The sequence below is a fragment of the Homo sapiens genome, chromosome 9, assembly GCF_000001405.40.
Source record: "Homo sapiens chromosome 9, GRCh38.p14 Primary Assembly".
Lineage (NCBI taxonomy): Eukaryota > Metazoa > Chordata > Mammalia > Primates > Hominidae > Homo > Homo sapiens.
In genome coordinates this window covers 88185162-88195577 of record NC_000009.12, presented here as the reverse complement: position 1 = coordinate 88195577, position 10416 = coordinate 88185162, and the positions used below count along the sequence as shown (strand labels likewise).

General features: G+C 41.4%; 1 pseudogene; it reads left to right on the top strand.

Annotated features, from left to right (window-relative positions):
- Positions 1-1118: 1118 nt before the first annotated feature.
- Positions 1119-7913, top strand: LOC100129340 (mitofusin-1-like; annotated as a pseudogene).
- Positions 7914-10416: the final 2503 nt, after the last annotated feature.

Below are 10416 nucleotides of genomic sequence, written 5' to 3'. Positions count from 1 at the left end.
CGTATTTTGAGATGGCTGTTCAGAGGGCTTGCAAACAGAAGTAGCCCTGAAAAACTGTCTTTCCTGGGAAACTTTGCATCTGTGCAGAATCTGCACGGTGCAGCCAGGCCTCCTCTGAGGCCCTCTCTTATCCAGATCTAAAAAAGATTAACTGAGAATCCAACATCTTTAAAGGTCTGAAGGAAACTCTTACCATGTATTCTCTCCGAGAGCTGCAACCTGTGAGGTTTCATCATCTACATAACAGGACTCCCCTTTGTGAGACAGGCCTCTTCTCTCCCTCCATAATCTCTTACTGCCATAATTTACGTTGGCCGTGCTCTGAGCCTCCATTCTTTCTGTAACCACAAGATGGTAGAAAAGTGTCAACCATCTGGCGATTTCTTTCAGTTTTTATTTTTATTTTATTTTTTTTGAGATGGAGTTTTGCTCTTGTTGCCCAGGCTGGAGTGCAATAGCGAGATCTTGGCTCACTGCAACCTCCGCCTCCTGGGTTCAAGCAATTCTCCTGCCTCAGCCTCCTGAGTAGCTGGGATTACAGGCACACACCACCACACCCAGCTAATTTTTGTGTTTTCAGTAGAGACGGCATTTCACCATGTTGGCTAGTCTGGTCCGGAACTCCTGACCTCAGGTGATCCACCTGCCTTGGCCTCTGAAAGTGCTGGGATTACAAGAGTAAGCCGCCATGCCTGGCCTGAGTTTTTATATTTTGTATGACTCCGAAGCTCATATGCACGTTTCTAAAATTTGTAATCCTTTTTTTTTTTTTTTTTTTTTTTTTTTTTTGAGACAGAATCTCACTGTGTCACCCAGGCTGGAGTGCAGTGGCAAGATCTCGGCTTACTGGAACTTCCGCCTCCTGGGTTCAAGCGATTCTCCCACCTCAGCCTCCGGAGTAGCTGGGGTTACAGGTGTGCACCGCCAGGCCCAGCTAATTTTTGTATTTTTAGTAGAGACAGGGTTTCACCATGTTGGCCAGGGTGGTCTTGAACTCCTGACCTCAAGTGATCCGCCGCCTTGGCCTCCCAAAGTATTGGGATTATAGGCGTGAGCCACCACACCCGGCCAGTAAGCCTTTTTTCTTTTCTGTTAACCTATTTGTTTTATAAACTAAAATGATCAAACCTTCTGGGAAAACATCTAAACTTCCCTACAATCGTTACCATGAAATCCTTTCCATTCTAGATCAATCTACCCACATAAAGACTGGAGAAACTGATGAAAATGTGAGTTATTCCTGCCTACTCTCAATTTGGGAGGAGAATACTCTGGTTTCCTTTCCCTGGAGATATATGATATTTGGGGGAAATGGAAGATGGGGGCTGAGAATATACAAATATGGATACTAGACAACCTGGAGTGTCTAAACATTTTTTTTTCTATGTAATATACTGCCTTTGGATTCTATAAACTCTAGAAATATCTGAGGAATCACAGGATTATTTTGAGAAACTTTTATTCCCGTAAGTGGCCCAAGTATCGCTCTTGTTCTAAATTTTAGTTGGAAAAATACGGTCACTGAAAGCATAGACTAACCTAAGCAGACTCTCTGCTAGTTTATTTTTAACTAAAGCTGTATGCCAGGCACTGTTTTGAGAACTTTACCCTCGGAAGCATGCATGATTATTTTTAGCGCTCTTCTACAGAGGAGAGCACCCAAATGCACACAGGCATCAAGATGCAGCCAGGACTCACACCCAGACAACCTCATCCTCAGAGTTCTGCACCTCCCCACTGCCCTACGCATGGCTGTCTTTTGTTGAGCTTTAAATTTTGTATCTGATGTTTTTTAACACCAGATTTTCTATTGATTTTTCCCAAGTAATAATGAACAAAACACTCATATTGAACTTACTAATCCCTAGAACTATGCAATGGTTAAGAACCAAAAAACCTTTTCTCTGTGCCAAAACTGGAATAATTAACCAGAAACTTTGGTACATATGATATTGGAAATCACCCAACTTCGTACTTCCCCGCTTTGCTTTTTTTTTTTTTTTTTTTTTTTTTTGAGACAGAGTCTCACGCTGTGGCTTAGGCAGTGGTGTGACATCAGGTCACTGCAACCTCCACCTCCCGCGTTCAAGCAATTCTCGTACCTCAGCCTCCCGAGTAGCTGGGATTACAGGCATTTGCCATCAGGCCCAGCTAATTTTTGTATTGTTAGTAGAGACGGTGTTTCACCATGTTGGCCAGTCTGGTCTCGAACTCCTGACCTCAGGAGATCCACCTGCCTTGGCCTCCCAAAGTGCTGGGATTACAGGTGTGAGCCACTGCGCCTGCCTCCCCCCAACCCCCATTGCTTTATTCACTGATGAAGCAGGCAAACTTATAAACAGATCCTATGCTCTTTTTTCAACTTCTTTTGGGTTCTTCATTGTAACTGTGATTCTTTTTTATTACATTGATACATACGACATTTTCTAAAATACACCTTTGAAGTCCAGAAATTCAATACTAATAAAGCTAACCTATTGAACAGCACTTTGCAAGTCACTTTGTTGGATACTTTGTGGAATTAAGATGCATGAGACATGGATACTACTTTCAAGGGGTCTAGACCACAGGGTTCTGAAAAGTGTTCTCCTTGGACCAGCAGGATCTGCATCAGCTGAGAGCATGCTAGAAATTCTTTGGTCCCAGAGACTCTGGGAGTAGGGCTCAGCAAAGTCTTTACAAGCTCCTTGGGTGATTTTGATGCGCACTAAACTTTGAGAATCACTGATCTAGCAGTGTAAGAAATATAAACAAAAGACTCTAAAACAAAGTTAAAATCAAGTTTAAACAAAATTCAGTGGAATTTCCAAGAGGGAGAGTTGAGTTGAGGTGGAGGGAAATCTTGAAAAGGCTTCCTGGATTTGGTGCTGGGGCTGGCTCCTTACGGAAGGGTGAGATGGGATGGCACACATTGGAAAGGGGCAAGAGGTTCATCTCAGGAGGATAACAGAGAACATGGAGGTGGACACAGTTAAGTATGGCCCGTGAGGGGGCCTTAGAATCCTCCATGTGGGTGGAGCAGAAAGTGTGAAACAGTCAGTAGAGGCTCAGTCATGGAAATCTTTGAATATCATTTTTACTATTTTAATAATGAAAGAAAAAAGAGAACACTTAAAGACAGTATGGCATTTCTATAATGGAGGAAAATAGTGGGAATATAAGTACACAGTTAGAATAATGGGAAATGTTCTTATATTTGTTAGGACTTCAAGGAAACCTGGAAAACACTGATACTTTAAAAAAATATTTATTCTGTATATTAAAAAAATACTAAAGTACTCATTACTTTTTGAAGACACTACTATGGAAATTTCATTCACAATATGGATAACATTTTTGCCTTATAAAGAAGTATGGTAGTGACACTCTATTATTGTAATAAAGCCATAATCCTAATTCCTGGCCTTTGCTAGATAATTTCCTGATTCAACTTTAGAAATGGCTTCACAGAGCATTTTGAGAGAAGTTGTAATATGAGTAAGTATAAGGTAGAAAATAATATTGCTATTAAAATGAAAGCCTGATATTGAAATATAAAAATGAACTTGCACTATAATAACTAGAGAAATATTTTAAATATCCAAAAATAAGTATATTTTTAGGTTTACTATTCAAAGAAAGACTGCAGAAAGTCAAAGGAATTTTATCTGATGCCTCTGCAAATGGAGAAGACAGTGTAAAATGGAAGAGATTTTAAAGGGCTTTAAATTTGGTTGAAATGGAGTAACAATCTCCTGCTTGAAACAACCAAAATAAATACATGAAAGAACAACATTGCATGGACATCAGGCACCAAAGACAGTGATATCTAAGAAGCATGAGAAACGTGCAGTTGAGGAAGGAGGCTGGCAGGATTTGCTTTCCAGTCACAACCCTGCTGACCAAGCCAGGATCTGGTCAAAACAGGACGCAGTGAAGAAACTGGCAAAAACCAGCAGGTGGCTCAAAGGCAGCTTCTAGTTGCTCCCAATGCTCATTAGCATAAGATACTCTCATCAGCACCAAGACAGTTTACAAATGTCATGGCAATGACCAGAAGTTACCACCTCTTTCTGTGGCAATGACCAGGAAGTTGCCCCCTCTTTTCTAGAATGTTCTGAATGACCTGCCCCTTAATTTGCATTAATTCACCCCTTAATTTTGCATGTAATTAAAAGTGGGTAAAAGTAGGTAGAAACACAGGTAACCAACAGCCCACAAGAAATGCTTTGGGGCACTGCCTATGAGTTAGCCCTGCTCCGTGAGGACAGTTCTGGTTCAATAAAAGATTGCTGTCTAATACCCCTGGCTCACCCTTGAATTCCTTCCTGGGTAAAGCTAAGAACTTTCCTGGGCTAAGACTCCAATTTGGGGGCTCAGCTGCCCTGCGTCAAAGTGAACCCTAAGATTGCCCACCTTATGGCTCTGAGAAAGCTTTCAGGCCATGGCGCAGGGAGGGGCAACCAGGCGGAACATGGTGGTCTTTCTGAGTTGAGACAGAGCTGGGAATTGGGGAAGCCAAGAGAGCAAGAGTTCTGAAGAGAAGAGAGCGGCACAGAGGAAGAACCCTGGAGACCTGCAGAGAGTTCCCATGGGATCTTGAGCAGAGCACTGATCAGTACATATGTGTGAAGAAACGCTTTGAGGATGGGGGAAGAATGATCCAAAAGGTTGAAGAGAACAGTGCTTCAAAGAACACACAAGGCCAAAAATAGCACCTGTTCCGAAAAACCGGAATGGAAAACCTTGTCATTCAGAGAGCATCAGTTAATGTACTAAGAACCACCTTGCCACTGTAGTGGAGAAAAATGAATCCTAGAATAAATTCAGATCTGCTTCTAATGGACAAATTTTAAAAGCAAGCCGAGAAATGATCAAACTCTTTCAAAGTACCTTAACGACATCTCAGAACAGAGCCCAGAAATATTTATAGGAGTACCAAAATAGTCAACAACCAATGAAATAAATCATCAATATCTACCATTCAAAGAAAAATTGCCAGACATTCCTAGAAGCAAGAAAACACAGCCCATAATGAGAAGAAAAATCAGTGAATCAAAACCAGCTCCAAAATGACACAGATGATAGAATAGGCAAGGACTTTTAAAACAGTTATTCTGATCAAATTTCATATGTTTAAGAAGATAGAGAAAAGATTAAAAATGCTACGTAGTGACATAGAAGATCCAAATCAAACTTCTAGAGATGAAAACTTCAAAAACTGAGTTGAAAAACATATTAGATGAGAATTACAGCAGATCAGAAATTTTAGAAGAAAGTATCAGTGACCTAAAAGACAGCATTAGATGCTATCTAAAATGAAATACCAAGATAAAAAAAGATGTAAAAAAAATTAACAGAGCGATCTCTTGGAAAGATGGGGCAGCTTGGGGGCTTCTCCACTGAAACACTTTGTGCTGGATAAGAAGGCAATTACTGAAATCTTTGACCAGTTACTGGAGTTTGTTACTGAGGATCACATATTGTTGAAGTATGTGAATCTCCCTTCTCAGCTCAAGATCTGAAGATCCAATCAGGGTGGAATAATAATAGCAACATATAAGAATCTAGAACTTGACTGAGCTACTGAGGATAATCAAGTAGAAATGTAAGAATATAAAAACAAGCTTTCTATCATTGGTAAGGTGCTATCTCGGAGACAAATGAAGGTGGCATTTTTTGGCAGGACAAGCTCTGTTATCAATGCAATGTTGTGGGATAAAGCTCTCCTTAGTGGGATTGATCATACAACCAATTGCTTCCAAAGTGTTTAAGAGACCAATGGAGATAAAACCTATCTTATGACAAAAGGATAAGATGAAAAAACAGTGTAAACACAGTTCATCAGCTGTCCTATGCCCTTCATGTGGACAAAGGCTTGGAAGCTGGCTGTCTTATACATGTGTTTTGGCCAAAGACAAAGTGTGTCCTCTTGAAAGGTGAGCTGGTTTTAGTAGACAGTCCAGGCACAGATGTCACTACAGAGCTGGATACCTGGATTGATGAGTGTTGCTTAGATGCTTATGTCATCATTTTGTTTGTAAACTCTGAATCAACACTAATGAACACAGAAAAACATTTTTTTCACAAGGTAAATGAGCAGCTTTCCAAGCCTAATAATTTAATTCTGAATAATCACTGGGATGTCGCTTCATCAGAGCCAGAATATATGGAAGATGTATGTAGACAGCACATGGAAAGATGCTTGCATTTCTTTGTGGAGGAGGTTAAAGTTGTGGATCCTTTAGAAGCACAGAATCATATATTCTTCATTTCAGCAAAGGAAGTTCTTAGTGCTAGACAGCACAAACCACAGGGGATGCCAGAAAGCAGTGAAGTACTTGGTAAACGATTTCAGGCAAGATTACAGGAGTTTCAGAATTTTAACAAATCTTTAAGGAGTGTATCTCACAATCAGCAGTGAAAACAGGGTTGAAACAGCACACTATCGGAGCTAAGCCAATACTAGATATTGTGAAAAACACAATGGATTCAATAAACGTGGCAGCAACAGAGAAGAGTTTATTCAAAGAAAGAGCGGGAAGAACAAATCGACAGACTGAGCTTTATCCCAAACCAGATGAACCTTTTAACACTAGATGTTAAGAAAAAAATCAGGAAGGCCGGGCGCAGTGGCTCACGCCTGTAATCCCAGCACTTTGGGAGGCTGAGGCAGGTGGATCACGAGGTCAGGAGTTCAAGACCAGCCTGGCCAACATGGTGAAACCCCGTCTCTACTAAAAAGACAAAAATTACTCTGGCGTGGTGGCGGGTGCCTGTAATCCCAGCTACTTGGGAGGCTGAGGCAGGTAATTGCTTGAACCTGGGAAGGGAAGGTTGCAGTGAGCCAAGATCGCACCACTGCACTCCAGCCTGGGCAACAGAGTGAGACTCCATCTCAAGAAAAATAAAAAATAAAAAATAAAAAAATCAGGGAGGTTACCAAGGAAGTGGCAAACAAGGTTTCACGTGCAAAGACAGATGAAATTTGTTGACTGTCTGTTTTGGTTGATGAATTTTATTCAGTTTCATCCTACTCCACGTGTATTGAAAGTATGTAAAGGTGACTTAAATTAGCACTTAGAAGACGGTATCAGAAGAAATATGGCTGATTGATGCACCAATTAAGACAATGCCTCAATGTTTAATCCAAGCAAGAAATTATTAAAAATTTGAAACCATTACTTTCAGCTATATATAGAATAAACTGCATACACTAATCCCTTGCAAGAAATTTGATCTCAGTCATGACCTATATTGCCACAAGTTATGACCAGATTTTCAAGAGGGTATTGTATTCCATTTTTCCCTGGGCTGGTCTTCACTTGTGCATTGATTCCTGGGCCCTACAAATGCTCAGAGGGTGCTCCTAGGATTGTCAGAGCCTAACTTTCCCTAGCTCTTTAGCCTGTACTCCCACTGCTTCTATCAACCCAGCAACACCAGATAATGCATCACACAAAGAACTCATGGTTACCTTAATAACAGGATTAGCTTCTCTTACATCTAGGACTTCTACGGACATCACTGTTGGAGGAGTAATTTGGAAAACTATAGGCTGGCAATTCGTATATGTTTCATTATGTATGTATGGAGTTTGGTATCTTTATGGAAGGCTGTCCTGGACCACTTGTGCCAAGGAAAGAGGCTTTAAACAACAGTTTGTGAACTATGCTTCTGAAAAACTTCAGATAATTGCTAGCTTCAGGAATGCAAACTGCAGCCATGAAGTACAACAAGAAATGGCTATCACTTTCGCTTGCCAGTGCCAACAAGTTGTTACTAAAAGACATCTGGAAGAAATTACTAGATTATCCAAAGAAATAGATCAGTTAGAGAACATACAAAACAATTCAAAACTCTTTTTTTTCATATTCATAGCTTTAATAGTGTGTTCTACTCGACATTTCTACTCTTATAACTATTACAATTAATAGCTTCCAACAGTTTCCCCTCACCTCCCCTCCCTCCCTCCCCTCCCCTCCTCTCCCCTCCCCTCCCCTCCCCTTCCCTTCCCTTCCCTCCCCTTTCCTTCTTTCAGAGTCTCACTCTGTCATGCAGGCTGGAGTGCAGTGGCGTGATCTTGGCTCACTGCAACCTCCACCTCCCGGGTTCAAGCAATTCTCCTGGTATCCAGGTGGCAGAGGGGAAATAGAGTCTGGAGAGGGAGGCTGGGCGCAGTGGCTCACGCCTGTAATGCCAGCACTTTGGGAGGCCGAGGTGGGTGGATAACCTGAGGTCAGGAGTTCGAGACCAGCCTGGCCAACGTGGTGAAACCCTGCCTCTACTAAAAATACAAAAAATTAGTCAGGCATGGTGGTGGGTTCCTATAATCCCAGCTACTCAGGAGACTGAGGCAGGAGAACCGCTTGAACCTAGGAAGTGGAGGTTGCAGTGAACCGAGCTCATGCCATTGCACTTCAGCCTGGGCGACAAGAGCAAAACTCCATCTCAAAAAAAACAAAAACAAAAACAAAAACAAAAACATAATAAATAAAAATAAAGAAAACACAACTTAGTTAGCTTACCATCCTGTGGGTCAGCAATTTAGGATAGGCTCTGCTGTGCACTTTGGCTGGTGTCAGCCAGCCTCGGCTCATTCATCTATGTGTAGCCAGCTGCTGGTCCAGGGTTCCTAGTTGTTTTTATGCAGACTTTTATCTTTCCCATCATGTTCTGGTCCACACCTTATGTCTGCCTTCAAGGTACCCATGACTTCAATCCCTGAGCATTTCCAAGTACTGTAGGATGAATCAGTCCTTGGTAGGCATCTAGTTTTCATTCTACACATTCTGCTAAGGCAGCTCCCAGTCCTCAAATGTTCATGTGCAATGAACAGGTATCTCTTAGCTTCATTTAAACAGTCTGTGTTTCTGTCTCCTTCTCCTTCTTTTCTCTCCCATTCTGCTAGCTCATCATTAATTATCAAGGGGATATGGGTGCAGAAACACCTTTACTCTGCCATACACAAAAGTCTGAAATAAAACTTCTTAAATAAATGATGACCCTTTTTTAATGTCAAAGAAAGGAATGATGAGTCTAAACCCAGCTCTCTGAGTGGCAGCCAGGCGGGGAGATGTTTCCCCAGTTACTAAATTAGAACGTAACCCACAAGAATAGACTGTGACGATGGCAGCAGGAGTTTGAAGCCTCTGTCAGAATATTCTGGATGTTCTTATGGCACATGGACTCATAAATTCAAAGGTCTTTCTTATTTTTTACTAAAGGCTATGTCTTTGTCTTTGGGGCTTCTGTCAGACTCCAGTTAGCGCACTAAAGGCTGGAAGGCTGGCTGTTTTGGGGTGCGAGATAATGATGGTTGAGCTCCTAATAATTATCCGCATTGGCTGCCTTTTGTTCTGGAAAGTATTTACTACTGCTTTATGGTGGCTTTTGAAAATGATTTTCAAAACATCCCAATTATGTCATTTATTTACTTTTCTGAGAGATTATTTTGAGGTTTGAGAAAAAATTAAATTTCTGGCATTAGAACTGTAATAAAGCCATTTTTGGGGTCTGACTGCTCATTGCTTTCAAGCCTGGCCCCTCTCTCTTCCTCTCTGCCCACCACTGGACAGGCTGGTGCTCCCTCCTTCAGCACCAGTGGGAGATTCACACCACACCAGACCCTGCCCTCACGGAGGAACCTACACCTCGGGCCCAGCCACTGACCTCCATCAAAACCCAGCCAGTATCCTTTCCTTGTTCTCTCACATCATTTTCTTTGTGCATTTTTCTACTCCTTCCCTCTCTTTTTTAGCAAATTTGCAGAAATTCTCTGTATTTTTGACGTTAAGTTTTCACATGTTATGAATGATGCAAATATTTTCTCCAAGACTGTCACTTATGTTTTAGTTTTGCTCATTTCTTTTTTGCAGTACCAACATTTTGACTTTTATAATGTCACATTTGACAATCTTTTATTTTGGATTTTGTAACATTCTTAGAAAGTACTCCCTCCTTGCCCAAATTATGAAGGTTATGTTTTCCTTCTAGAATTCCTATTAGATGGCCACTGGAATTTCTGGATCTATCTCCCCTGTCTCTTATATTTGTTTGTATTGCATTCTGGGATAATTTCTTAATCTTTTAGTTTACAAATTTTATCTTCAGCTGTGTCCACTTTGCTATTGTACATCTACTGGCCTCATTTACTGGCCTTATCTACTGGCCTATTTTCATTTTGGCAATCATTGTAATTTTTGAGGTGGAAGAATAGGGAGTTGGGGTAACCAAGGGTTAAGGCGTAAGCAAAAGGACAGCAGATGCAGTTCTAGGCAAGGTTAAGCAGCCTACAGGCCAGACCCTCACTCCTGTGATAACCAGACAGAAGTCTCCACTTCAGCCTCTGATTGGCTACAGGCCAACTCTTCACTTCAGCCTCTTATTGGTCACAGGCGAGGTCTCCACTTCAGCCTTTGATTGGCTGTGGGCCAA